We start from the raw sequence: 27,788 nt of genomic DNA, 5'->3' as shown, positions 1-27,788 counted from the left end.
GCCCCTGGCTTCTCAGTACACGATCAGGGGCCGCTGGCCCTGCTCCAGTGCTCCAGCCGGTGGGCAGACTGGCCACACCAGGGGCGAGCTTGGGGCGACCACACATGACACGGCACCCAACACAAGGGGGCCATGCACAGGGGGCCTGGTGCCGGCCCGCGGCATCCTGAGTATGTCCCTGGAAAATGTGTGGCCACGGTCTTTGCCTGGGCTCAGAGTCACTGTGAAAATCCAGGTTCTTAAGAAATAACTTTAATGTATTTAGAAACCTCAAAACCGAAATCTCCCTGCCGGGTCCCCTCCCTCCGGCCGGCCCCTTCTCAGAACGTGGGGCACTCCTGGGCACTCAGGGCCCTTCTTGTCCCACTCAGGGGTAGGAAGGGCATAGGAGGAGACCTCGCATTGCCCCCAATAATCGCTATTGGTGCCTCCTGTGCCCATCAGTCCAGGTGGAGTTGCCCCCTGGGTGCAGTGGGGAGGTGGGGCCCAGCAGCTGAGGGGCCCAGCCAGCCAACGGGAATAGGCTGGGCTCCCTGGGACACGGTGTGGCCCCCTCGAGCTTGCCTGGGGGTGCCTCTCTGGGGACATGTGATCTTCCTTCCGTGAAGTGTCTGGAGCCCGGCACCACAGCCACAGGCTCTTGGGAAGCCCCAGGGAACCATGCTGGGTCCTTGAGACCAGCTCCCCACGCTCTCTAGAGCCAGGCACGACCACTTGCTGATTGGAGACAGGCTGTGCTGCCGCCGGCTGGCCTCGCCAGGGCTACACGTCCGTCTCCACCCGCAGACGCTCCATCCTGCGGACATTGCCCTCCACGGCCACACGGCTGGTGATGAAGCGGGCAAAGTCCTCGGGGAACCATCCCGTCTCTCCGTCCCGGAGCCTCTCGCCATAGAGCCACCCTGAACCCGGATAGGGGTGGGAGGGAGGTGAGGGGAAGGCCGTGGGTCCCCCGGCCCCTCTGAGCTGCTATGCCTGAGCACACCAGGGCCAGGCTTCTCCTAGAACTGACCACCTGCTCCTGCTCAGAGCAGACAGCTGCTGAGGCCTTGCTCATGGTCACCGGGCACCCAGCCCCTGCTCAGGTGCTCGCCACTGAGAAGGGTGCTGGGCTGAGCACACCCCACACAGCGCTGCCCGGCATGAGGAGGAGCCCTGCCTGCCCTCTGCAGGCTCGTGCTGGGCCTGGCTGAGCGGGGATCCCCTGGGAGGGCAGAGACACCTCCTCCTCCCCACGTGGGACACAGTGACCATGAACCTGCTTTTGATTCTGAGGTTTGGGGATGTGGGAGTGCTCCCTTTGAGGAAGCCCTCGAGAGAGGGTGAGCACATGGTCAGCCTGCAGCCCGGCATGCTCTGGACCTGGCCAGGCTGGACGCTGACTCACGCCCGCCTGTCCGTTCCCACCCATCTGTGCCCAACGCCCCTGCACTCACCATCCTCCTGCTGCAGAACCAGGACCACGTCCGCCTGCTGCAGTGTGACCTCGTCTGCTTGCTTCGCGAAGAAGGCCTTGGTGATCTCCACCTGGGGCAGGTCTGCATAGGGCAGTGGCCATCACAGGGCTGTCGGGAGGCATGGGCCAGGCTCCACTCCCCAACGGCCTCCAGCAGACACATCCCCCGGGGCCGGGGCACCCCATCCCCCGACTGCCAGGCCCCAGCACAAGGCCAGGTGCCAGGCTCACTTGGGCTACAGTGGGGGCCAAAGTGCCAGCCACGGCAGAGGGCCAGCCCTGCAGGCCCCAGCCCGCACTCACCTCCTTTGCTGGAGAGGCCCTGCCACTGTCTCTCACTGTGTGTGAGCGCCACGATCCACCGTGCCCGGTCACTCCTGGGGACCAGAGACAGCATGAGCCAGGCCTGGAGACCGATCCTGCCCGTCTGATGTTCCTTGACTTCTGACAGCCACCCATGGGGGCCGTGGCAAGGAGATGGGGGTGGTGGGGGTGGGCAGGAGTGGCTGGGCAGACTGTGCCAGGCAGGCTAACCCCCAAGTCACCCCAGCCCCAGGTCACAGAGTTGGGTAGTGGCCACACACCCAGACCCCAGCCTGCTGGACCTGAGGCCACCCCGTTTCCTGGCACTGGGCCCCAGCTCCCTGCCCCCTCCGTTTGCTGTGACAGACTCAGCCTCAGCATCCTCATCTGGAAACGGCCCAGAGCTGTCCTCAGTCAAGACGAGCTGAGAGGGAATATGGAGACTGGCGCACCTGTGTGCCTGGCTTCCACGGGGGGCCCGCAGAGACTCCATCAGTGCCCCCTCCCATTCTGAGTGCCAGGACCACCCTGCTGTCTGAACTGGCCCCTACCGGCCAGGGTCGCTGCACCCCAGCATCACTGCTGTCCACCTGCAGCTGTGCCCTCGGGGCCTCAGGGCTCTCCTGCCTCGGGGCCTCTGCTGAGCAACCCCACACTCCGGCCCCACCTCCCTCTGCTCACATGGGCTAAGCTTTCCTCACGGCACCCCCCGCACCCCACCCCCCACCTCGTTTCCTCCCTTGTTCCCACTCCTGGTGGCCCAACTGTTGGTGCGTCCCCTCCCGGGAACATAAACTCCATGAGGACAAGGCCATTTCTGTTGTTTCTGGCTCTACCTCAGCACCTACAGCAGGGCCAGGTGCACGGTGGGCGTTCAGAGCCAGCCATGCAACAGCGAGCAAGGCAGGGGGACAACCCGGTCCCCATGGAGCTAATGTGCCTGTGGCCTGGGAACAGCCCTCCCGGGAGCCCACTTACGCGGAGTCCGAGGAGAGCAGGAGCTGCTCCTGGCGGCCCTCGCTGTTGCGAAGCAGGGTCACCTGGAAGGGGTGGGGCACGGAGGAGCTACGGTTGCCGCCCCCGGGCAGAGGGAGCTCAGACGGCTCTATCTTCTCCACCTGGATGTGGTTCATCTGGGCGTAGTCCTGGACCATGTAGCTCTCCTCGCTGTGGAGACACGGGCAGTCGGTGGGACGGTCCCACCCAGCTCCTACCCAGTGCTGCTGGGCTCCCGTCCAGGTCCCACCCGGCTCCCCTGCAGTGGTGGGGAGGCAGCCACGGACGGGCTCCAAGAGTTCCCGCGTCCCACAGAACAGAGGCCATGGCTTTCGAGTCCTCCTCGTGGCTATCACCGGCAGACCCAGGTCTGCAGAGGAGGTCAGAGGCTGCACAGCGAGCGCCACCTGCCCCCGAGTGTCACGTAGAGCATGTGCCGAGTGGAAGCCGCGCCTCGGCTCTGAGGTCAGAGGGGCTCAGGGCCAACTCCCTGTACCCTCCTGCCCCAGGGCCAGCGGTCCAGTGTCCATGGAGTGGGGCTCCCCACACCCTCCTGCCCTAAGGCCACCTCTTCTTCTTGGTCACAACCAGGACATCGTTGAACAGGAAAAGGTAGCACGTTGGCCGGCTGGCAATTTTTCGAAAAAGTCCGGTTTCTTCCACTAAGAACAGCTCTCCGCGCTTCAGCAGCCACCGGGAGGCAGAGATCAGTGGGAGGGACTGGGGGGACAGAGCCGGGAGGCGGAGATCAGTGCGAGGGACTGGGGGGGACAGAGCCGGGGTGAGCAGGTCCCCAGGGGGTCAAGGACGCATAGCACCAGGTGGGACTGACTCCTGCCTCTGGACTGGGTGACCAGCTGGCTGCCCTCAGTCGGGGCTGGACAGAGGAAAGGGGCACAATGTGTCCGGGCCTCAAATCGAGGTGCGCCAGGCCGGACCAGACCCTGCCCGATAGCCCAGGGCTGGGTGACCACTGAACATTTCACCCAAGCCAGGACTCGAAGGCCAGTGCTGGGGAAGCCTCCACACACACCTCACCCCTCCGTGGCAATTACGCAGACGCTGGGCCTCCTAGGCACAAGGACCTGCTCAGCCCCGAGGGAGGGTTGGCAGGGGCAGGCCCACCCGTGATGGCCACGCTCCACGTCTGGGGCCTTTCCTGGCTCCTGAGCCACAGAACATCCTCCCTGCTGCCTGGTGCTGAGTTGCTGGAGTCAGTGGGGGGCAGAAGGATGGCAAAGGCCAGAGGGTGGGCAGTGTGGGGGTGATGGGGTGGGTAGTGTGGGGGTGACGGGGATGGGTGTCGCAGTAGGGGGTGGCAGTACAGGGTGGGGGGGAGGGCAGAGTGGGAATGAGGAGCCTGCCCACCAGCTCCCGCTCCTCAGCGACTGTTGACACCTCCTCACCTGCTCCCTGTGGGCCCCGGCTTCCCCACCTGTGCCCACTACAGACTCAGAGCCCCCGGCACCTCCCGCTCCCGGCCTCTGCCACCACCCTCCCTCCTGGATGGGCCTGTTCTCCCCACCCCCACACCCGTTTCCAAGACCAACTTCAAGACCATGTGGGGGTGAGAGCCCCACTCAGGGGTGGACCAGGCCTGGGAGGGGGTCCTTGCTCTGGCAGGGGCAGGCGTTACACCCCAGACTCGAGAGGATCAGGGAGACAAGCGTGAGGGCTGCACGGGTGTGGGCTCAGCGACAGCGGCGCGAAGTCACCGCCCTGACGCCTGCCCCAGGCAGCCCGCCCTGACCCACCCCGGGAGCCCCCTCCCCCAGCTGGGACCCCGCACCCTTACTTGGTTGTCCGTGGCCCTGAGTGAGGGTGGCTGGTGGCCTGTCACCCACTTCTTGCTCCACCCTGAAGGACACCCCCTGGATGGGGCACCAGGACAGGAGACCCACCTGGGCCCGCCTTAGGGGAGGGGCCCTGGGCTGTCCCAGGACAACAGAGGATGCGGCCAGTGTGTGGGATCGTGGGTGGGGGGCTCTGGAGGGAGAGGTATGAGCCCTGCCCGTTTGTGGCAGGGACTAGGGCTGCCCGGGCCTGGGCTGGAAATATTTCACCCTACCCAGAATCCAAGCCTCACTGGGAAACATGGAATCTGGGCTGGCCCTGAAATCACCCTGTCCCCTCCGCTCTGTCCTCAGGCCCTGCCCAGCCCCTGAGGGGCCAGCAAGGAGCGCTGGCCCCAGGCAAGTGCACTGACAGGGCCACTCCTGTTGCCCCCTGGGCTTGGTCACTCAGGGCCTAGGGTCTACCCTTTGCCGGTGCAGTCCTGGGGATGGGGCAAGGGCCACAGAGGCCCACCCAGTGGGATTAGGGGAGGGGTCCACAAGGGGCGCTCCCAGATCGGGAGACTGAGGCCTGGAGAGACCAGAGCCACCAGCCCTAGGAGGCCCAGCCCCCAGGCCTCATGAGGGCAGGCACCCACTCTCCAGCCCTCAGGCTCAGGGGTGTGACCTCACACGCAGGCCAGCAGGGAGGGCTGAGTGGGAAGTGGTCCGAGTGGCCCTGATGTCCGGGGCCACCTACCTTGACCTTGCTGAAGTCCAGCTGTGTGTGCAGCGTGTACATCTGCTCCATGCGCTCCATCCTGTGGGCCCCCTCGTTGCACTGCCTCACCAGCTGCAGGGCATGGTTCCCGTGTGAGAGGCTGGTGCTACAGGGCCCTGGCACAGCCCACACGGCCCACAGTGTGCCCAGGACACCTGCCCAGCCAGCCTCTGGCTGCCCACAGTGCCTGCCCTGGACCAGCCGTGCCACGGGCTCATCAACTGTGTGAGAGCTCCACTGGCTCTAGGCCTCAGTTTCCCTGTCAGCACTGTGAAAGGCTTGGGATGGATAATCTGGGAACCTCTGGGCCTCAGTTTCCCTGTCAGCGCTGTGAAAGGCCTGGGATGGATAATCTGGGAACCTCTGGGCCTCAGTTTCCCTGTCAGCGCTGTGAAAGGCCTGGGATGGATAATCTGGGAACCTCTGGGCCTCAGTTTCCCTGTCAGCGCTGTGAAAGGCCTGGGATGGATAATCTGGGAACCTCTGGGCCTCAGTTTCCCTGTCAGCGCTGTGAAAGGCCTGGGATGGATAATCTGGGAACCTCTGGGCCTCAGTTTCCCTGTCAGCGCTGTGAAAGGCCTGGGATGGATAATCTGGGAACCTCTGGGCCTCAGTTTCCCTGTCAGCGCTGTGAAAGGCCTGGGATGGATAATCTGGGAACCTCTGGGCCTCAGTTTCCCTGTCAGCGCCGTGAAAGGCCTGGGATGGATAATCTGGGAACCTCTGGGCCTCAGTTTCCCTGTCAGCGCCGTGAAAGGCCTGGGATGGATAATCTGGGAACCTCTGGGCCTCAGTTTCCCTGTCAGCGCCGTGAAAGGCCTGGGATGGATAATCTGGGAACCTCTGGGCCTCAGTTTCCCTGTCAGCGCCGTGAAAGGCCTGGGATGGATAATCTGGGAACCTCTGGGCCTCAGTTTCCCTGTCAGCGCCGTGAAAGGCCTGGGATGGATAATCTGGGAACCTCTGGGCCTCAGTTTCCCTGTCAGCGCTGTGAAAGGCTTGGGATGGATAATCTGGGAACCTCTGGGCCTCAGTTTCCCTGTCAGCGCTGTGAAAGGCTTGGGATGGATAATCTGGGAACCTCTGGGCCTCAGTTTCCCTGTCAGCGCTGTGAAAGGCTTGGGATGGATAATCTGAGAACACTCGCTGCCCTGGAAGGTAGGGGAAGCCAGCCCTATGCCATCGGGTAGGGTGGGGTTGGGTGGGGACAGGGTCGGGGTACAGGACTCGGGTAGGGCTGGGGCCAGGCCCCATCTTACCTTGCTGATGGCCTTCAGTGCACGGCTGGCAGCCTTGTACCTTTCGGAGTGGCCCTGGGTCTTGAGGCAGAGCGTCTGGATGGACAACAGACATGGGACAGAAAGTCCCCTCTGGCATCCCAGGTGTGGAGGCTCCCACCAACGCCAGACCCCGTGTGGGGCTGCAGGGTGGTCAACAGCTGCCCCCAGGGGGCTCCTGCAGGGCCCCACAGCACGTACAGCCCCTGAACGGCCTCTGCACCACCTGGAGCTCTGCCAGGTCAGGCCAGGTTGAGTGGGAACAGGAGCTAGCACCCCTGCCTGGAACCCTTCCCTTCCCATCCTCGGCCATCTCCATCCAACTTGGGGAATCGTCAGTGGAGGCCCCCTGGCAGCCCCATTTCTGCACATCCCTGGGGCCCCCAGGAGTTTGAGGTTCTGTTTGGCTTGGGCAACCCTGCCATGTGTAGCCTCAGGAAGCTTAGCTCAGTCCTGCCATGTGCGGGGCTGTGTGTATGGGCAGCATGCACATGTGTGAATATGCCTGTGCACCATGTGCATGCATGTGTGTGCATCCACGTGTATGTGTGTGCACCGGGTGCATGTGTGTGCAGTGCCTGTGTGTGCATGTATGCAAACGTGTGCATTGTGTGCACATGTGCATGCATCGGTGCAATGCAGTGTGTGCAAGTGTGCATGCATGTGTGTACTGGCGTGCATCCATACATATGCATTGTGTGCACATGGGCACATACGTGCCTGAGTGCGTGTACACTGTATATACATGTGTGCGTGTGTGTGTACACCTTTCACCCTCATATACCCTCTGCCCTGTGGGCTGGCATCCCACACACACAGCCCATGCTGGTGAGCCTCTCTGAGCCCCTCTCTGCGTCCACAGAACAGGGAGAGTAGGTGCCAGGGACAGGGCTACCACGTCTAGGAGGACTGGTGGGGTGGGGGCTGGGAGGAGGCTCAGCAGGGCTCTGGGTGATGCCAGTTCCAACTCGTCAGTGTGCCTGAACCTCATGAACCATTGAGTAAGTGAACACAAATCCGCCAAGGGCTGGAACAGTTCCCGGCACAGTGAGCTCTGTGGGTGGCGGCGACCACAAAGTTATCCTGGTTAATAAAGCCATCTTAGGATCGTAACTATTACAATATCATAGGCCAAGCCTGGAGGAGAAGGTCACAAGCACGTAATGCTCCATCCGGGGCAGGGCTCTGGCCGTGGGACCCCAGGATGGTATGCCCGGCCCCACCCTCAGGCCGTGGACTTACATCCATCAGGAGGGGCAGCCGGGTCACCCGCTGCATGGGGAGGATCAGGAAGGAGAGCATGGGCAGGCCCCCGCACGCCGGCCGCCTCTCAATCTCTCTCAGGGCCTCTCGGAAGGCGGCGTTGCTGCTTCTGCAAGAGGACAAGGCTGTCCTTCCAGGCTCTGCATGGCCAGCCTGTACCAAAATCAGGCAGGACCTGCAGAAGCTGGGCTGGGAGCAGGAATGTGCTTTGGGAGACCAGGGTGCAGGATGCTCCTGAGCCACCCTGCGGGCCTCGGGGCCGCCCACTCACATCAGCTTCTGCAGCGTGCGCTGTTGGTAGACCTCGTTGGAGCAGTAGGCGATGTAGGGGTGGAAGTGCTTCTCAGCGTGCTCCTCCAGGATGTCACTGATGTCCTCGACCAGCACCTGGGCCTTGTGCCGCTGCTCCAGGTCCTCGAAGAACCTGAAGGCAAGGAGGGGTGAGGAGGGTGCCACGGGCCTGGTGGTCGGGCCCCACGTGTGCACACACAGACATGCATCTGCATGCACACTCACACATACATGGACGTGGCAGGAGCTGAGCTCAGCTCCCAGAGGCAGCACACAGCAAGCACTTGGGGCGGGACCCGGACCTGGGATGCTGGACAGCAGGGAGGGCGGGTGGGAAGTGGTCAGAGGCCTGGGGCTCCTTACAGAGCCCCCTGCCACGATCCCACGCACTGGTGCCGTCCCTCTGTTGTCCAGGGGCAGCCCCAGGGACTGTCCCCAAAGGCGGGCCCATTTGGACCTCCTGTCCTGGTGCCCTGTCCAGTTGGTGCCCTTCGCCCTTCAAGCTCCTTCCAGCTAAAACGACTGGGCCTCCACACAGGCCCGGGCCCCCGCTGCCGCACCAGCTTGCCCCTGGGAAGAAACTCAAGGACGGAGACTCAGGGGACAGGCACAAGAGCAAAGAGGGGCGATGCCTGGGGCCACCCCTTCCAAGGATGAGTCCCAAATCCGAGGCAGCTCTGCTGGTCAAGCTCCCAGCTGGGTTCATGAACTGTTTACTTTCACTAGGTCCCCCACCCCGTTCTGAGGGAACAGTCAAGGCCGGGGGGGGGCCAGCTGTGGGCTCTTGGCAGACTCCCTGGAAGGGGCTACCAGCCCCTCACCTCCCCATGACCCAGGCCTTGGTCCAGGGTGATCAGGATGAAGGGAGTTAACACTTGGTCAGAGCTAGGCCAGGGCTGCCAGGATTCTGCCCCCATGGGCGGCCACGGCCACCAAGGCTGGGCTTGGCTGGACCCACGATGGTCACCTGCTGTGTGAGGCGGTGGCTGGAGCCTCGTCCATCCTGCAGACCCTCAGAGCACCCAACCCGAGACCACATCCGTGTCTCCAGGCCGCCGCCACAGGAGGTCCTCCCAGCCCAAGAGCTCTGTCCTTCGGAGGACTCCCTTACCCAGCGTGGAGGTGGGCGGGAGTCCCTCCTCCTCTGCTCACGGGGCCCGACTGGGCCTGCCACCCACGCAGGAGCCACGCTTCCTGCAGGGAGAGTGTCCTGACAGCTGCTTGCCCTTGAGAATCCCCAGCAGATGGAGCTGCAGTCCCCGTGGACGAGGACCCAGCAGGTCATGGGAGGCCTCGGTTGCTGGATGAGCAGGGCCACGACATGCGTACGTGCCCAGGCCGGCCAGGCCGGTCAGCAGCTCATATGGGTGACTGCAGGTTCTGAGAAAGGTCTGGGAGAGCCGCCCACCAGCCGCTTACCCCAAATAGCGATGATTCCCCAGACAGTTCACTGTGAATGCCAGGAGCTGTCGGGGGCCCAGCTGGGGGAGGAGGCCGGAGCTTCCCGCCCCAGGGCAGCAATCTAAAGCCCTGAGGAGGTCAGAGGCAAACATGCAGCTGCCTGAGGCAGAGGGGACCGGAGGACACAGAGCTCAGAGAACACAAAGCCTGCCTGGCTGGGGGCAGAGCTGGGGGAGGGGCAGCCGCTATCCCAGACCCCTCCCCCTCCCCCAGCCCCATCCCATGCTGAGTCAGAGGTTGGGAGTTTCCCATAGCTGGTCCCTGGAGCTCTACAGGAAGCCCCTGTCTCCAGGGACAAGGCGGCTCCCTGCCCACCCTCAGGGCCCCAAAGTTCCGCAAGGGCACCCCACAGGCAGCAGATGGGTGGGACTCGCCAGGGGCGGGGCTGATATAAGAATGCGCCAGCAACCACCACTGTTGGGGCAGCCCTGTGCCAGGCACTACAGGCCCCTAATCATCTCCCAGCGCCACCCAAGCCCACGAGGGGACCAGAGGCACCGCCCCTCAGGTTAGCATTGAGGCTGAGGCTCAGGAGACTCGATGCTCCGGGGTCCTCCTGCATATAGGGAGCAGCACAGGGTCGAGACCACACATACCCCTGCCCAGGCACACACACCCACGCACACACACCCCTGCCCAGGCACACACACCCACGCACACACACCCCTGCCCATGCACACATACCTGTCCATGCACACACACATCCCTGCCCACGCACACACACCCCTGGCCAGGTACACACACCCACGCACACCCCTGCCCACGCACACACACCCCTGGCCAGGCACACACACCCACGCACACCCCTGCCCATGCACACACACCCCTGCCCACACACATACCCCTGGCCAGGCACACACACCCACGCACATACACCCCTGCCCACGCACACACACCTGTCCACGCACACACACCCCTGCCCACACACACATCCATGCACATACACCCATGCATACACACCAGGGTGCCGGATGCTCCCGAGCCACCCTCCGGGCCTTGGGGCCAGCCCACTCACACACACCCCTGACCACGCACACACAGCCATGCACAGACACCCTTGCCCACGCACACACACCTACTCACATACATCCCTGACCACGCAGATACACAGACATCCCTGCCCACGCACACACACCCACTCACACACACCTGACCGAAAACACAGCCACTCACACACACCCCTACCCACTCACACATAACCCTGACCACGCATACACACCCCTGCCCACGCACACACATCCCTGCCTGTGCACACACCCGTCCATGCACACACATCCATGCACACACCCGCGCACACACAACCATGCATACACACCCCTGCCCCACACCCATGCACACACACTGCTGCCCAGGCACACAAACCCATGCACACCTACACACACACATACCTGCCCACGCACACACAACCCTGTCCACACACACCCGTGCAGACACACCCGTGCAGACACCCCTGCCCATGCATACACACCCTTGCCCATGCATACACACCCCTGCCCCCACACACCCATGCATACACACCAGGGTGCTGGATGCTCCCGAGCCACCCTCCAGGCCTCGGGGCCAGCCCACTCACACACACCACTGACCATGCACACACAGCCATGCACAGACACCCCACCCCACACACACACCCACGCACACACACCCCACCCCACCCCACGCACATACCCCCGTGCATGGCTGCAGCTGCATGTCCAGCCTCTCTACCTCCAGGCCCTGCAACCAGAGCTCAGGTCCAGCCACCAGACACCTTTGGGTGGAACATGACCCAGAGCTGCAACTCGAGGCTTCCTGCCTACAGGTGAGCAGCTTGTGGCCACCACTGCCTGGATCATGCAGCCCTCTGTGCCTGGACGTCCTGGTGGGGTGGTGCTTGGCAGTGGGGCAGGGTTGTACCCCTGGGAAGTGCTCCACGTCTTAAGAACGACCAGGATGCCACAGCCCCAGTGCTTAGCCCGGCCCTGGGGCCAGCTCTTGGTGGCCTCAAGGACCCTCAGAGGTCATCACACTCCGCGGGAGCCAGCAGCTGCTCTAAACCATCCACATCAAGGTGCAGCGCAGGCTCCCAGGGGCCTGCTGATGACAGTGCGGTGCCCACGGGGGGAGGCACCTTCCTGGCAGAGGACCCTGTGTGGAAGGCTGTGGCGTGGCCTCACCTCTGACTGGCACCCAGGACATCCAGGATGTTGGAGAAGAGGTGGTGGTGCTCCATCTGGGTCACGGTCGCCCGCAGCTCCTTGGACTGCAGGAACTCCTCCACCAGGATGCTCAGGCTGTGCTGGTAGGAGAACTCCGACGTGAGGATCTCGAACATGGCCTGTGGAGAGGGGCCTAGGTGAGCCCCACAGTGACGCTGGACACGGGCGTGCCTCGGTGACCAATGCTTGGAACAGGAGGACGTGACCCGGGTGGCAGGGGCAGGTGGGGACAGGAACCCCAGACACACCCCTGGATGGGGCTGTCAGAATGGCCAGCTTGGAGATGCCAGCCCGACGTCCCTGGATGCCCCTGGCTGGGTGCCTTATGAGCCGGCTGAAGCTGGGCAACGACCCCCGTCCTTGTCAGAGAAGGGGGTGATGGCAGCCCCTGGACTCCGAGGATTCACCCGGTGACGTGAAGGGGCTCCGTCAGGGCCTGGCGCAGGTGGAAGCACAGCCCGGGGCTGTGTGAGGCGCTGGTCAGCGTGACAGGGCCTGGCACTGGAGGTGGCCGCAGAGGGATGGCTGGGTGGTGCCACCGTGGCTGCTGCCCCTCCCCGGGTGTTGCATGGCCCAGGCCATGGGGGACAGCCCTCCCGCCCAGGGCCCTTTTACCTCCTGCCTTTTCCGCTCCTCAGTGGAGAGCTGGTCCAGGATGCCCAATTCCACCACCTGGGGGGACACAGGCCCAGGAGCTCTCGGTCACACGTCCTAGAAGCCTGGGCCAAAGTCTCCCTTCTTTCCTCCTCCTGATGGACCAGGGCCAACATGGACAGCCACCCCACAGGGCTCAGGTAGGTCCGATCCTGGAGTAGGCCTGTCCTGCCGAGGGCCTATCCCCGTCACCTTCCTCTCTGTGTAACCCGCCTTGGGTCAGCCCCCCGCTCCCCCCAGCCGCCAGAGCCCCAAAGCAGCCCAGAAAGAGCATGGGGCATCCAGAGGGAGAGGCCAGAGGGCGGGGGGGGATCTTGTCCCACAGATCTTCCCGGCAGATGGAGAGGTGCGGAGCCCACCCAGGGAGGGAGTGTGGAGGGCAGGACTGTGACTCAGACCCCACCTGGGCGAGGCGAGTCAGTGCCCTGCCTGGAAGCTATGGGTGACGCTGTTTCCGCCCGGGCTCCCTCCTCCTCGGGGCCCACAGCTGGCGGGTCGCCTTGGCGGGAGTGTGGCTCGATTGGTAGAGCACGTCAGGACCAGGAGGGCTGCCACACCGCCCAGGGGTCCCCTCTGCAGGACTCAGGCCACCCTGATTCGTGCTCTGCTCCTCACTGGGCTGGGCAGAAAGGCCGCCAACAGCGCCTGGGCCAAGGGTGAGTCCCCCATTCCCCAAACCAGTGCCTCCTTCCCATGCAGGGTCGGAAACTCTGGCAGTTACCAGGGTGCGGTACTGGACTCCATCCCCGACAGAGGGAGACCACACGCCCCCAGCTCCCAGCAGGAGAGTAAGACTGCACTTCTAGGCCTTTCTATCTGTGGGGAGGCTGCCCGCTGCCTGCCCTCACCCCACGCTGGGCCTGCCCTGGCCGGGGTCCCAGGGTACGCAGCACCATGGTGTGTGGTGGGTGGTTGCAGTGCCAGCCCCTCTGAATGGCGAACAAGGAGCCCCATTGTACCACAGGTGGGGGCCCGCCCTCCCCGCTGCCCGCCACGCCCACGGCCACATGGTCCCCTCCCTTGGGCCTCAGGGTGCGGGTCACATGCCGGTCCACCTGGGGTAGGAGCAGCCATCTCCCCCAAGCATGGGGACCAATGCCGGGCCACGCTCTCCACTGAGACCCCTGCAGGGCAGGGACGGGCCCCCAATTTCAGATATGGAAAGTGAAGGAGTGTCTTGGCCCTGGCCCCAGCTCCAAGTCCCGGCCCCTCCCATCCCAGCTGTCTCCCTACGCAGATCATTCAGCCCTCTCCTGGGGCGGGGGCCCTGGGAAGGGACTCCTGGCGCCCGCAGCTCCCTGAAGGGTAGTCTGAGCAGGGCTGGCCCTCGCACGCACGACGGCAGGGCCCTGCATGGGCAGGGTGACTCTGAGGGCACAGGAGGGAGACCCCCAGGTCTGCCACCCACAGCCGAGGGGCTTCTGGGAAGGCTGCCCACCCTCCCTGGGAGGACTGGGCTGCTGCTGGGGACCAGCCGCCTGGGCTTGGGGAAGGAACAGCAGGGGGACTGTGGCTTCTCCCTGCCTCTGTGGGGCAGCCTCACCCACCCTCCGGCGCTACCTCTGGGAGCTGGCTCCAGGTGACCTGGGCGGGCCGGTAGCTCTTGACCACAATGGTGGCGTCCACCTTCTGGGTTCCCTCGGGGCTGGAGGACTCATCGAGGATGTCGTCATCAGACTCCTGGCTGGTGTTCAGGCCCCGCTCCTGGATCTCCTGGTAGAGCTGGGGGTCTAGAGAGAGAAGGAGGGTAACCTGTGGCCCTGGGGGATTGCAAAAGGCTGCGCCTCCCTGCAACCCGCCAGCTGAGTCCTCTAGGCCCACAGGCTCTCACGGCTGTGTGGGAGAGGGAGGCTTTGGGAGGGGACTGCCCCAGGCTGGGCACCAGTCCCAAGACCTCTCCTATGCCACAAGTCCCACCTGAAATGGGCTGGTCCCGGCTCAGGGTGCCTCCAAACCCTCACAGCAGCCCCCAACCAGCCTTACCCTGAGACGTGGGGCATCGCTGCTGCCTCCTGGGGACACTTCCCAGGGATTTCCGTAGAGGAGACCTGGGTACCCCCTCCTGGGCCCATGCCTGTCCACAAAGCTTCTGGGGGCTGGAAGGGGCCATTGTGTCTTGGAGCCTCAGGCCTGGAGCTGGGCACTCGAGGCCTTAGCCCTCCCCGGGCTTCATTGCCTCTAATCTCTTTACACCCCCGGGCATTTGGACCCAGGTAGCAGGCACCTCCCTATGTCAACCTCCCTGTGGGATGTTCTCATCTCCCCCGAGCAGGCTGAGTGTGCACCACCGCCACCCATGCTGGAGGCCCCAACACATGGCTCCCCTTCAGCCTCGAAGAGTCCGGGCAGAGCCCGCGGTGTGGGGCCGGTGCCCTCTGATCTGGCCTTGGTCCCCCAACACGGCCACTGTAGGCTGGGCCCAGCACACACATGGGGTGTTCAGGGCAAGACTGGGGGCTCTGTCTGTACCCTGCCCTTCAGAACACACAGAATAGAGTCCAAGGGAACTTTCTAGACCTTTCTAGACTCATCAGGGCTACATGAACAGACCAGCCACTGGGACCTCAGCCTCTGGAAGGACCCTGTCAAGCAGCTTTGGTGACCCCGAGACACCAAACTGAGGCCCACCCGAACCCCAGGGTGCCCCAGTGAGACCAGTTTCAACTGGAGCCCAGCCCGCGGTGCCTCCCGAAGCCACACTCACCGTCCTTGAAGGAACCCTTGTGCCCACGTTTCCTCCCCAGCGTCTTCTGCACAAAAGAGAGACACAGAAACCGCAGCTGTCAGCCGGGGCAGGTGTTGCCCACGGCGATTCTGCCCTGGGACCCCAGAGACCTCTCGGCTCCACATGCGAAGCTGTGCCCAATAGATGTCAGCTCCACAGGGCCTCACGGCCGCCAAGCAGAGGCCAAGAGAGGTGGGAGGAGGGCTCAGAGCAGGCAGGACACGTGACTGAGGGCTGCTTGGAGGAGGAGGAAGGGTTGAACTCATCGTGAGGGGACGCTCAGAAGAGTTTCGAGCAGGCCCGTGGCAGGGCAGGTGAGGTTGGGAGAGGGCTGTGAAGGGACAGTGGGGCAGGACACAGGCCCCTGGGGACTAGGACCTGGTGGGACAGACGAGCAAGGATTGGCCAGTGTCCAGCCCCAAGCATGGGTCTGGGGGCCCCAGCAGGAGGCCGGGATGGCAGAAGTGACGGGAGGGCTGGGCTCCTGGGAAGCCCCCACGCTCAGGTGCCCGACTCGGAGCCCACCCTCCTCGGCTGGGACACCACACTTTCCTGACGCCACAGGTATGCTGGTTCCCGGAAGGAAAGGGGCTGATTTCTCGGAACGAGTTGGGGCCTGTAAACTCCCCTTACTGGTTGGGAGTGTGTGGTGCTCCCAGCTGTACCTGGCCTGGCACCCTCAGCCCCGTGCCCCGCACCCCACCTCAAGGACTCCCCCAGCCCCCCTTCGGCCTCCAGGTCTGGCTGGAGCTGTTGCCTCCCCCACCCCGACTCCGTCCTCTCCTCCTGTCTGCCTCTGCGCTAACCCTCCTTCCTCCGGGACCCTACCCTGACCCGAGGCCATGGGGAGCCCCCTCCTCTGTGCTCCCAGCACCCCCGAGCTGCCCTCAGCCCAGCCCTCGGCATTCTCCCTGCGCTGGAGGCCCTCTGAGAACCAGGCCCATGCCCGTGGGCTCACTTTGGAACCCCAGCACCAAGCATGTGGCAGGTGCCCAGAAGTGTCTGCTGACTGCATGAAATAAACAGTGAATGAATGAACGGAGCCCCATGGGCCTGGGCCTGGTGGGTGTAGAGAGTGCTGGGGCCCTTCCAGCTGCTGGGGTGCAGGGGCCTGCGGCAGAGGTGCTGAGGCATTTCTGAGTCCTGGGCGTCTCAGGTAGGCACAAGAGAGAGCTGTGACCGAGGACAGTGGCTGGTGCTGGGGACATGGGGGACCCCACCTCAGCCACCATCGGCCTGCAGTGGACGCCCATGGGACATTCTGACAGGTGGTCTTGGCGTCTCCTGAGGCTGGCACTGCCACTCCCAGTCTGGGCAGGAGCTGGGCCTGAGGAGGCAGCTGGGACGGCAACCAGTGAAGAAGACGCTCTGGCACACACCTTCCGTGGACACTGCCCAGAGGATGCCCAGAGGGCGGCTGTGATCTTTGCTTCCACATGGGGAAGCCAAGGCTCAGGAAGGTTCAGGAACTCATCTGGGTCACACAGCACCTGCCCCCGCCCTCGTCCTTCACTGAGGCAGCCCATATGCTTGGGGCCTGTTTTCCAACACGTCTGAGCAAGGCGCCCAACAAGAAGGACGCCCCTGGGGCCAGCCCTGCATCTGCTCTGCATTCTTGAGGGTGCTCGGGCTGCCAGGGCCTCCTGATGGGCGGTTCCAGGGCAGCTCGCCTCCCCTACCCCAGCCCTGCCTGAGCCCAGACCCACCAGCTAAAGAGACCAAGCAGGGTGGCCAGAGTCGCAGTCCTGGCTGGGTGGGTGTCCAGGTACCACGCAACTCTCCCTGAACGTGGCTTCCAGCTCCAGGGCTGCCTGAAATGAAGGCCTGGCCCCCAGCCGCAGGGGATGGTGACTCCGAGGATGAGGGACACTGGGCCCAGGAGCCCCAGCTGGACGCTCTGTCCCCTGGGCCCTAGTGACACATGCAGTCAGGCTACACCCTGCCCAGCAAAGGGTCTGCCGCCACCATGCCCCAGACCTAGAGCCACCACCAGCAGGCAGGGAAGCAGGGCTCTGTGTACAGAGGGAATGTGCAGACTTCTCCTAAGCCCCAGGCCACCGCACAGCTGCCCCGCTTCAGTCCCTCCCGCCTGAGTCCCTGTCTGGAGCTGCCGGGGCAGATGGAGCCCAGGCCAGTCACTGCAGCCAGGTCACCCTGAACCCTATCATCCAGGCAGGCCGGCTCCTGTCCAGAGCTCGGAAACAGGGACTGGGCCCTTCCAGGGATCTGCCCTCCACCAAGGCTGGGAGCGGGGACACCAGAGTCTGGGGGCCTCGGTAGAACCCTCGACCTTTCCGAGCCTCTGCTGCCTCATCTGTAAGGTGGGATCTTCACACTCACAGACTGGGCTGAACTGGAATAAACCAGTCGAGAGCCCTCATGCAGCAGGTGCTTACTAACGGCAGCTGCCATGATGCAGAAGATGACGGTGGTGGAGACGGCCAGGCCGCCCCTCTGCCTAGCAGCCCCCTCCCCACGGTCCACACGAGCAGGCCCCTACCTTGTTTTTGGCCGGGCTCCGAGTATGAGGCTGGCTGGGTTCCTCAGCCAGAGCCTGGAGCTTAGGGCTTAGCTGGATGGCATCTCCCTGGCCACCTGGCTTCCCCAGGCCCTTCATGGCCGCCCGGTAGGATTGGTTCCGCAGGTTCCGCCTCAGCATGCCCCCGGGGTCCTTGTCCACGTCCATGTCATCCAGGGAGAAGCTGGGGGCTGGGAGGAGCTTAGGGTCCCGCCGGGCGGCCTCCCTGCTAAGTACAGCCGCCCCGAAGCTCTGGTGGCGGGCTGGGGTCTTTGCCTTGCTGGCCACAGCCAGGCTCTTAGGGATCAGCTGTTGGGTGCCCAGCTTGAGGGCCGCCGGGCTCTCTGTGCTCAGGACGATGGGCCATGGCTCCTCGTGCCCCGGGGGCCGAGGCTGTGGGGGTGCCGGGACCTGGGGCTGGAAGGCGGCATCGTCTCTAACACGCGGGGAGCCACGGACCATTGGGAGCCCGGAGGCTGGGTTCCCCCCGGCATCGAGCCGGAGCTCCGAGTGGAAGCGGTGTCCCAGGAGCTTCTCCTCCAAGGAGCTGTCTGAGTGCCGCTGGGCCATGCTGGGCGGCTGTGGGGTCCTGGGGGAAGGGCAGAAGTGAGGTCTCGTGAGGCTGCTCTCCCCTGCCCCCGCGGGTGTCCACCCCCCTACCCCTTTGCATATGTCTGGCCGGGGCTCCAGTACAGCTCCCAGGACACAGCAGGCAAGGACAGCGACGCAGCCAGGAGCACAGTGGATCAGTGGCACAGCCAGTCCTGACCACTGGGAGCCAGCCATGTCTGAGGCCGGAGGCTGGACACAGGATGGGACTGGGCAGGCGCTGGTTCTCCGAGCTCCAAGGGACCAGGTGGGCACAGCCTATGGGGGTAGGCTGGACCTTGGAGGTTGGGAGGCCACACTGCTTCCTCTGATGGGCAGCACGCACTGAGGACACATTCCTGAGCCTGGAGGCAGGTGGGGCAGCTCAGGTGCATGGCCCTGGAGCCCTGAAGACCTGGCCTGGAATCCTGGCTCACACCTGGCAGCCATGCAGCCTCCTGGAACCACTTCCTCGTGGTGAACGCAAGGGTCATGGCGTTGCACTGGGGGGCTTCCTGAGGCCGGCATCAGCCACAGCGGCAGTGACCACAGCCTCTGCCTCATTGGGGTCTTCCAGGCACCTGAGCCAGGCTCTGCTGGGTTGGGGGGAGGGCAGGTGCATTTGCCCACATGCTCCCGGCCCGAGCCCAGGCCTGTGTGATTCCCCTCTCTTAGCCACACAGTGATATGACTGTCGCGGACTGTCCATGGAACCTTTCCACACACCAGGCAACACGCTTGCATTTTTCCACGTTTCTGAACTGGGCATAAAGCTGACAATTCTGGTCTCAGGAGCCCCACCAGTCACCAGCCCGAGAGTCCAGTATGACACCTGGCCACTGGGCAGGTGTGGTGGTGGCAGGGGTGGCAGCCCACAGTCCCACGTACACCCCCCAGCAGAGAGCGGGAGCTGCCCTGTAGACATCTCTGTAGCCCGATCCCCACACCCCGTGGGCTGCCCCGCCCCCGCCACACTCCTGCCCGCCCCTCCTGGCAGCGCGTGCCCCCGAGCCCATCTCTACCCCACTGTTCCCTTCATGGTCCGGGGCTGGCACCCTGCCCCTGACACTACTGCTTCCCATTTCTCACTTTCCTCCTTCCAGACCCGAGGCAGGGCTGCCCTTCTGCCCCTTGGGAATGGCACAGTCCTGAGACTGGCTTTGGGACATACGTGCCTGCCAGGTAGGAATGTGGAGAGCCAGCTCTCGACCTGCCTCTGCGTCTTCCCTGGCTGCCATGACTATAGGCACGCGTGGCCAGGCAGAGCCTCAATGGCCTGGACCCCGTGTGACCGAGATGTGCAGAGCCCCCAGCCGACACGGCCTCCAGGAGCCGGGCCCAGAGGTCTGTTTCCAGGCACTTTGCGGGGCTGTTGTGGCTACACATCACCTCCTGAGTGACGGCGCATTGCTCGGCCACAGCGGTCAGGCCCACAGTGAGCTTTCACGCCCCGGGCTGCTTGCAACCCCCCTGGGCACTTGCAACCCTCAGGCCACTGAGCAATGGATTCCGAGGGTCTGGTCTCTCAGGCCTCCCAGCTTTCCCCTCTGCTGCTCAGGGGCTCCCCACACGTGTCAGGGAGCAGCCCTGACCCAGGCATGTGGTCAATGAGCAAGTGACGCTGCCTCTCCGTGCCTCAGTTTCAAAATCTGCAAAATGGGCATGATAAGAGCAAGGCCCACCTCCTGAAGGTACGGTGGGAAGTGTAAAGCGTGCAAAGCGTGTAACAGGCCTGGCCGGTGTGAGGCCTGCGTCTGCGCCGCAGTGACCAAGGCCTTGCCGAATCACAGACAAGCTCATGCTCCCTATGCTCAGGGAGCTTCGTAGGTTCAAAAGGTAACGACATGGAGAAAACTCGCTGCTTTCATTCTTTCCCTTTTAAAAAATAAAGATAAAAACAATAACCACCACCACTCAGTATGCCTCCTATACACCCAGAACGTCACACACATGAAAATGACCGGAGTCTCTTGCGGGTGGAAACTGATTTTTCTGATGGGAAAACAAGGCTGAGTCACTCGCCCAAAGTCACTTCCTGCAGGGAGGTTGCCTACAGTCAGCCACACAACTGACCTGGATTAGCACCTTTGGAGTGTCCACAGGGCACCTGGGACACCCCTCTGTCCCTGCTCAGCCCCGGGAGCCACCAAACTCTCCCAGGACACAAATTCTCTGCTAAAACCATCCCAGGAAGGCACGTGCGGCTGAGCCTCCCAGGCCCCAGGGAGGGACGGCCCCCACGCTGGCCGGGAGGGTACATTCCTCAGGACATTCCAAATCACTGGTCAAGGACAGCGGCAGACACAACAGGCCTCCCCCGGGGCTGGTGTCCATGACACTGACCAGAGTGACGCTGGTCTGCACCATCCCAGGATCACCCGCTCACAGTAGGGTGTCTGCGTTTTACCCAGGCCCGGCCGAGAAATCCATTTCTTTTAGGCTTCTGTCTACACGCCAAGCAGAGCACACTCCAGTGGGTGGCCAGCGTAGGCGGTCTACGGCCCTGCGGTCCTTTTATTCTAAATGTGATGACTTTACCTGGGGGGCATTTGATGTGGGTTGACATGCCCACAACATCACTGTGCCCCATCTCCCACCAAACAAATGTCCCCAAGACCCCACAGCCCCCAAATACAGAGACCCCAGCCTGCACTGTCTCAACCTTCTGACTCTCATAGAGGCCTTCCTCCTTCCTAATGGGGCCAGACTGCCCAGGCCTGACTGTCCCTGACCACGTCCTCTGAGACGGTGTCCTGGCCCTGGCTGGCAGCAGCTGTCCCAGGAGAGATCAAAGTCTGCTCCACTGCCAGAAGGCGCCCAAACGGGAACCTGTCAGGCGAGCCAGAGCCTGAGCCATTGCTGGGTGTGACCTCCGCTCCCAGCGAGGCAGCCGCACCCACAGGCCTAACAGAGAGCCTGAGGGGTGTGGGCAGTCCAGAGCCCCCCAGGAGCCGGCTCTCGGGAGCTGTGGCCCTGGCAGGCACCCGTTGCCTTCTGTTTTTCAGTTTTTCTAAAGAACTATGAAGACACAGACACCGTTTCAAAAGTCAACGAGCACCAAAGACTTAGCATGAAAACCCAGCGTCCCCTCTTCCACACTGCCCTGATCCCCGGAGGCCACTGCTCTGGGCTCCTCAGCTTTTCCCAGAAAAAGGCACAGCCTGCTCTCAGTGACCCCCACCTATGGGCATTCCTACCCCCTCCCTGCCTGTTGGACGAGGACTCCATCACGGCTGGCCCCATCACACGATGCCTGTGCCGGCAGAAGGCGCTGAGCCCCAGGGCAGGGCCTTGTCCACGTCCTGTTAATGATTTTCTCTCATTTGACCAGCCTGGTTTCCCCAGTTAATTTTTCCCTGAGTGTTCTGGCGTCTCTGCCATGTGCTTCTTGAGAATATATTCTATATGTCTGGCAGGCCAGCTCAGTGTTTTTCCCAGACACCCCCCGTCCTCCCTCTCCAGAGGGCCCAGTGCTCTGGGCCTCACCCTGGGCGGATCCCAGGACCTCCTCTGCTGCTTCCGGGGCCCCTCTCACCTGCTCCCGGCCCTCATTGCCCTGAAGGACATCCCCAGGCACTGTCCCAGGAAGCCACATGGGAGCCATCTTTTGGACTGCCTGAAAATGTCTTGTTTCTTCCTCTCCCCTGACTGGTGAGGAGATGAGCATTCCCACTGTAGATGGTTTTCTCCCAGAGTCGGGCAGCGCCCTTCCCTTGTTGTCAGAGTTGCTGGGGAAGGGCCCCAATGTCCCGATCTCTTTCTCGGATCACAACCGGTGTGTGGTTCTCCCTGGCCCCACTGAGGGTCTGGCGCACCTGCTGGAGCCTGGGAGCTCTGGCTGTCTTGCTGATGTGCCTCGGTAGGGTCCGTGTTCGTTCACTGAGCCAGCCTGGGAGCTCTGATTGTCGTGCTGATGTGCCCCCGTAGGGTCCATGTTAGTCCACTGAGCCAGGCACTGGGTGGAACCCTGCCAGGCGGTCACTCTTGTCTAGGGCTGCGCAGATTTTCATATTATTTCTTCCACTCTGTTTTCTCTTTTTGGAATACCCACTAATGAGTATTAAGCTCTGGTGTTTTCTCCTAATTCCTTACCTTTCCTCCCCTACTTTGTTCTCTGTGTGAGGTTTTCTCTACTTGGACTTCTTATTGGCCCCTGGTCTTATCATTTTCATTATCCTCAAAGAGCCCTCTGCTCTTCATTCCTGGCATCCTGCTCTTGCTTTATGGGTGTAACATCTTCTATTGTCTTAGAGAGGAAGGATTACATTTTCTTTGGAGCGAGTTTCTTTCTTTCTGTCGCTGGCTGCTGGAGCTGCGCCCCTGCCACATACTTCCTCCTGTCTCCGCCTCTGCTGGCCTCTGTCTCTCAGGCACAGGGCTTTCCTCAAACATCTGCTGCTGGTGGTTGATTGTTTCTGCTTCTATTGAGGAGACAGGCCTTATGATGGCGGGAGGTCCAAGTGCACACACCCTGAGCACAGGTGTCTGACCGGGAGGGCCCAATGGGACCCCCAGCCCCATGCCAGGTCCATATCCTGAAGCCTGTCCTGCAGGCCGGCTGGTTTCTACAGTGGCCTCTTTCCATTTCCTCACTGAGATGCTGGTCGGCTCCTGGTGGAGCCAGTGAAGGGGAGGGGCTGAGAGGGCAGACTCCTTTCAGCAGCTGGCCATGCTGTCCCGGCTGCAGTGCCACAGAGAGAGGTCAGATTTCCTGCAGCAGCCACGTGGGCCAGTGGCAGATCTGCTCCCCAGCAAAGGCAGCCCTGACTTGCTGAGTGGGGGCTTAGCACAGGGCATGCACAGGGCAGAGGGAGCCGCAGGCTGGCTGGCTGGCTGTCCTGTCTCCCCATGTCTGTGAGCCCTTGCGGGGCAGGGACAGTTTCCTGTTCGTGTCCCCACAGTCGGGCTCAGATTCCACACTGAAGAGCAAATGCCTGCCTCGGCACGTGCTCTGCCCTGGTCTCCTAGTACCTTGATTCTGTGTCTTCCCAGAGAGGCCCTGGTGTTCCGTGCCAAGAACCAACTTGCAAGGGGACTTGGCTCAAAATGAGCAGAGGCTGGGCCAGGGCAGCCCCATAGAGGTTCTGGGCCCATCTGTGCCACTTTTTGGGCGACTTCCTGCTGCTTCTCCTCAGGGTGGGCTGGAAAGGACCTCCCATGGCTGAGCCCTGGGGCCCAGAACTCTCTCTTTTCTCTTTACCACTAAATACCCCACCTGGTATCCCCAACACATATAGTTATGGGGCATGAGGGACTTGCCAGGAGGAGGCGTGCAGCAGAGGCGAGCAGGCGGAATCCATGGTCTCTGGGCAGTCTCAGGGGCCCCCGCCTGGCCGGTCCAAGCAGGTGGAATCTGTGGTCGCTGGCCAGTCTCAGGGCCCCCTGCCCAGCCTGTCCGTTCCTGTCCGTACTTGGCCTTGGCTGATCTGCTGGATCTCGGACCCAGTGTTGGTTGGGTGGGCCGCTCTGTAGCCCCGCCCTCCTGCCCCCTTATCCTTCCGGAGAGATGGGCTTCTAGTGAGTCTAGTGGGCGCCAGCCCCGTGCCTCCAGCATCCCCATAGCAGTACAATCTCCCAGCCAGCGCCTTGGGCTCTGGGCACAGCTGCTGTCACGGCCACCAGGACCCAATTGCCCCAAGTTTGCTGCCCCTCCGGTTAGGATGTTGCACAGGCCTCCAGCTTCATGTGGTCCCACCCTCAGGCATTTCTGTCCCTCCTACCCTGGCCTCTAGGTCCGGCTGACCCCACTCGGCCCAGTGGGGCGCGGCCTCTCTAGCACCTGTCCATCCAACCTCAGTGAAGGCAAACTCAAGCTACAATGATGCCCTTGTACTCCGGTAATTCTGCCCGTCAAACTTCGGACTCAGTCACATAATCGGGGGGAGGACTTGCTTTTGCAAATCATGCAGCACACATCAGCCAGCTCCGTTTGCAAGGTGGCCAGGGATTTGGCTCTGCGGCCTTCACTGGGGCAGTTTTGGCCCCCAGGGCACATTTGCCAACGTCTGGGGACACTGCTGGTAGTCAGGAGTCCTGGCTACTGGTTGGCAAGGCTGCTGGAGAGACCTGTTATCTGGATCAAGGTCCCTAGGGCTGCGGTAGGGAAATCCTAGGCAGCTAAGCAGAGAGCCACCCTGCGCGGTGGGGGCGGGGAAGTGCACCTGGCCCTCCCACCTGGACATAGCTGGTTCAGCCCAAAGTGCATTCCAGTCACTCCCCAGCTCCGGCTCTGAATGAGACATCCCATAAACCCAGCTGCTGTCCCTGGCTCTGCTGCCACTCACGGGGTTCCCCCAAAGGGTGGGAATCAGAGCCTGCCTCTGACAGGTGCCCGTGTGGGTGACAGGTCTCCTGCCACCCGTTCACCCGCTGTAGGACAGACACACAGACAGTGCCCTCTGAATGCCCTGTCATCCACTGTCTTCTGCCCCTCCCCAAACTTCTGGAAGGTGGGTATTTTCCCGGGCAGGTAAGGAAACCAGGTGCAGAGGGAATGTGGCCTGCGGGGGTGGGACTGCTGGCCAGGCCCTGTCCTGACCTGGATGGCTGTCCCCAAATGGGGACCGGGGGGAGTGGGGGTTCTGGCCTCAGCCAGGGAGTCACTAGAAATAAGGACGCTGCTCCAGACGGATGGTCCCCTGTGCTAAGGACAGGAGCAGCCCAGATCCATCTGGAAACCAAAACTAAAACTCAGACCCAAACTCGCGGGGAGCGCCTGCGCCTGGATCACAACGTGAACACAGATGGCCATCCTCAGGATGGGGACCTGCGCGTCACATGTGAGCTGTGGGGACCCTGGCACGCCGCTTCTCACTGCTTCACCTCTGTGCCTCAGTTTCCTCATGTGTAGGTGGAAAGTGCTTCCCACATAGGGTGGTCCTGTGGGTCAGAGATGGCCCCCGAAGAGCCAGCGACCTCAGGGAGGCCCCCCAACAAGGGTTTCTCCCCAGTGTCCAGGTGGAGGGAGGGCCCATCCCACCCTCCAGGTGACTTTGGTCCAGGTGACTTACTTCTTCCAGGAAGCCCCCAAGACACCTCCCTTCCAGCAAGACTGGGGTGGGTGAGGAGTGCCTACCTTCAGCCCATGGCTCCTGCTCTGGACAGTACCTTTCATCTCACCCTGTTCCCCTCTGCTGGCTGTGGGCATCGCACAGCAGGGTCCACGTCTGCCTGGCACACTTGTGGGTCAACATCTTCTAACTCAACACTCCTACTAGTCCCATTTTACGGATGAGGAAACCGAGGCCCCAAGAGCTGCTTAGTTCACAAAGAGCCAGGATGTGAGCCTGAAACCCACACACCTGGGAACTATGCCACGGAGGGGTCAGGACCTGCAGCCAGGCACAGCACCTGGACCCTCTTGCTGGACCCCCAGCCAGGCCCACACGCACCCCCTAGGCCCCCATGTTAGGTGGTGCACAGACTGTTCCCCTCAAGGACACAGAGAAGATTCAGGCCTTGATTCAGGTCAGAAGCAGAGGTCACCAAGACCTGCCATCGCTGCCACTCCCTCAGTCCCCCCACCTGCTCAAATCTCAAAAGGGATACTGTTCCCATTTCACAGACGCAGAAAGAGGCTGAGCGGCCAAGACAAGCGGCCACGGCTCCCTGGTAGGTGGGACGCACCCCTCCCCCTCCCCATCTCCCTTCTCAGGGGAGACAAAGCAGGTCCCTCCCTGCCACCGCCCACCAAGGTCAAGGGTGGGGGAGGGGCGTATGGTTTGGGTTTGTCTTGGGTGTGGGGTTCTTCCTTCTCGGGGCTTTTCTGAAATTTTGGGGCCAAAGCAGGTTTGGGTGTCAGATTCCCCAAAGAGCTCCCGGGAGGGTCGTTCTGTTCCGCCCCCCACCCCATGCTCTTTCAAACTCCCTGGGGCTTCCAGAGTCCTCGGCGCTCAAGTCTGAACCCAGGTTCCGGTTGCATGGAAGTTTTCCTTTAGGAAGAGGAAGCGGCCACTCGGGGTCAAGAGAGGGCAGCGAGCGAGCGGGCGGGGGCAAGCAGGGGGCTGCCTGGTGTGTGTGGGGGGGCGGGTCCAAAGTCGCATCCGGCTCAGCCCGCGAGCCCCGCCTCTCCCGCCCCGGCGGAGCCCCAGGAGGGTCGCGAAGTTGTTGCGGCTGCCGGGGCGGGGCTTGCGGGAAAAGCGAGGGGGAGGAGAAGCGCCCCGGGTTCCCGGCGCCTCCCCCGGGCTAATCCCCCCACCCGGCTCCCCCGAGCCCCGACTCACCTGTCCCCCGGCTCACCTGTCCCCCAGGCTCACCTGCGCCGCGGGGCGGAGGGACGGAGGGGCGGCGCGCTGGCGGTGCAGCTTCCAGCGCCGGGTCCTGTCCTGTCCTGCAGCCGCTTCGCTCCTGCGGCAGCGCGGTCCGGCCCGGGGCGCCTCCTCCGCTTCCTGCGCGGTCTGGCTGGAGGGCGGCGGCTGCGGCCCCGCAGGTGGGCGCTGGGCGGGCGGGGCTGCTCCGGGTCCGAGGGCCCGGGCGGGGAGGGCCGGGGAGGGGGCGGGGCGCGTCCCGGGCACCTGTGGCGGCGCCGCCTGCGTCACAGGTCACAGCCCCACCTGGGCCGGCTGGAGCCCACGTGATCGCCCGGACTGGATCGCGCCTCTCGATTCCCGCCGAGCCGCCGCCGCCCGGTGCCTGCGCCTTCCCTCCCCGCGCCCACGCCCCCTCGAGGCCGGCCCGGGAGTCGCCTGCCAGGCGTGGGGCCAGAGCGGCTCGGCTCCCTCCTGCGTCACTGTCCTTCCAGGCCCCGCTCCACTGCCTCCTCCAGGAAGCCTTCGGGGAAGGAGACCAGCCCTGCGGGGACCGATGTTTGCTGTAGAAAGGCCCGGCCCTCTGGATTCTTGGAAGCCAGGCGGCCAAAGACAGCCAAGAGGGCGCAAAGCACTCTGGCCACCTTTTTGGTGTGGTTGAGTCGCGGTCATCCCCATTTCACAGAGAAGGACCGAGTCCTGGAAAGGAAGGCGCTCGCCCTCGTGCACAAGGCTGAGCCTGGACTCCGAGCCTGGCCTTTCCTTGCTCCGCCTGCTGGGAACCCGTGTGAAAGTGAGGGAGGGCCCCGGGCAGAGGCTGCAGCAGCCCCCCAGCTGGGGGTTCAGGAATCAGGCCACCTGGTGCTGTGGGAGGGGCTGGGGGCTGAGCCAAGCCTCCCAAGCTTGGGCCTGGCCATTCAGGAATGTGACCTGAGGTCCCAGGGCTCAGACCCACTTCTGACCTGCCTCCATCATCCCCTTTTCAGGAAAGGCCTGTTGCCAAAGGCCTCCATGTGAACATCCACACTGGGCTTTGGGTCAGCTTCTACCAGCGTCCCCTCACTGACCCCAGGCCTTGGGGTCGTGGGCCGGGCACCGGTGTGCCAGCCAGAGGCACTGACCACCCTCCTCCCAGGACCTGCCTCCCTGGCCTGGGCGGCCGTGAGATCCCGTTGCGGGTTGAGGAGACACCACAGGCTCTGGGGCTGTCACTTGGCATTTTCTCAGGTGTCATAGGTAGAGGGGCGGCCTGCCCTGCC

The 27,788-nt window shown here is 63.2% G+C and overlaps 1 protein-coding gene across 6 annotated transcripts, besides 3 other annotated features; it reads right to left on the bottom strand.

Annotated features, from left to right (window-relative positions):
* Nucleotides 1–236: 236 nt before the first annotated feature.
* ARHGEF16 (Rho guanine nucleotide exchange factor 16) lies at nucleotides 237–26,685 on the bottom strand. Of its 6 annotated transcripts, none has more exons than XM_017001051.2 (15): nucleotides 26,522–26,685; nucleotides 17,678–18,284; nucleotides 15,157–15,202; nucleotides 14,013–14,182; nucleotides 12,414–12,470; nucleotides 11,757–11,917; nucleotides 8,120–8,272; nucleotides 7,828–7,957; nucleotides 6,568–6,642; nucleotides 5,288–5,380; nucleotides 3,324–3,475; nucleotides 2,738–2,926; nucleotides 1,760–1,833; nucleotides 1,437–1,538; nucleotides 237–902 (listed from the first exon to the last, which is right to left on the bottom strand). In XM_017001051.2, exons 2-15 carry the CDS (start codon nucleotides 18,263–18,265, stop codon nucleotides 763–765), a joined length of 2,130 nt encoding a protein of 709 aa, XP_016856540.1. In that variant the 5' UTR covers nucleotides 18,266–18,284; nucleotides 26,522–26,685; the 3' UTR covers nucleotides 237–762. The 6 variants fall into 6 exon arrangements, with proteins under 6 accessions (XP_016856540.1, NP_055263.2, XP_016856538.1 ...); NM_014448.4 differs by having other exon boundaries at nucleotides 26,539–26,685; XM_017001049.2 differs by lacking the exon at nucleotides 26,522–26,685 and adding an exon at nucleotides 21,819–23,914.
* Nucleotides 9,158–9,783: an enhancer, noted in NCBI's record as "NANOG-H3K27ac-H3K4me1 hESC enhancer chr1:3388131-3388756 (GRCh37/hg19 assembly coordinates)". NCBI's record gives its function as "activates a minimal SCP1, AML or CMV promoter by ChIP-STARR-seq in naive H9 embryonic stem cells {active_cell/tissue: H9 hESC(naive)}" and the evidence as "EXISTENCE:reporter gene assay evidence [ECO:0000049][PMID:30033119]".
* Nucleotides 22,649–22,818: an enhancer, noted in NCBI's record as "experimental_7120 CRE fragment used in MPRA reporter constructs". NCBI's record gives its function as "activates a minimal promoter by MPRAs in K562 erythroleukemia cells, with activity observed for both the introgressed and non-introgressed 1:3375181 variant alleles {active_cell/tissue: K562}" and the evidence as "EXISTENCE:reporter gene assay evidence [ECO:0000049][PMID:34662402]".
* Nucleotides 23,338–24,089: an enhancer, noted in NCBI's record as "H3K4me1 hESC enhancer chr1:3373825-3374576 (GRCh37/hg19 assembly coordinates)". NCBI's record gives its function as "activates a minimal SCP1, AML or CMV promoter by ChIP-STARR-seq in primed H9 embryonic stem cells {active_cell/tissue: H9 hESC(primed)}" and the evidence as "EXISTENCE:reporter gene assay evidence [ECO:0000049][PMID:30033119]".

This window comes from Homo sapiens, chromosome 1 (genome assembly GCF_000001405.40).
Source record: "Homo sapiens chromosome 1, GRCh38.p14 Primary Assembly".
Taxonomy (NCBI): domain Eukaryota; kingdom Metazoa; phylum Chordata; class Mammalia; order Primates; family Hominidae; genus Homo; species Homo sapiens.
The sequence above is the reverse complement of the archived record's forward strand: the minus strand, read 5'-3'. Positions and strand labels throughout refer to the sequence as shown.

Coding starts and splice junctions, on each gene's coding strand:
- ARHGEF16 (XM_017001049.2), bottom strand. CDS start 21,850: ATGTCCTTCAGGGCAATGAGGGCCGGGAGCAG. Junction 7,958..8,119: donor CGCACGCTGCAGAAGCTGAT/GTGAGTGGGCGG, acceptor GTCCTCTTGCAG/AAGCAGCAACGCCGCCTTCC. Junction 903..1,436: donor GGTTCTGCAGCAGGAGGATG/GTGAGTGCAGGG, acceptor ATCCGGGTTCAG/GGTGGCTCTATGGCGAGAGG.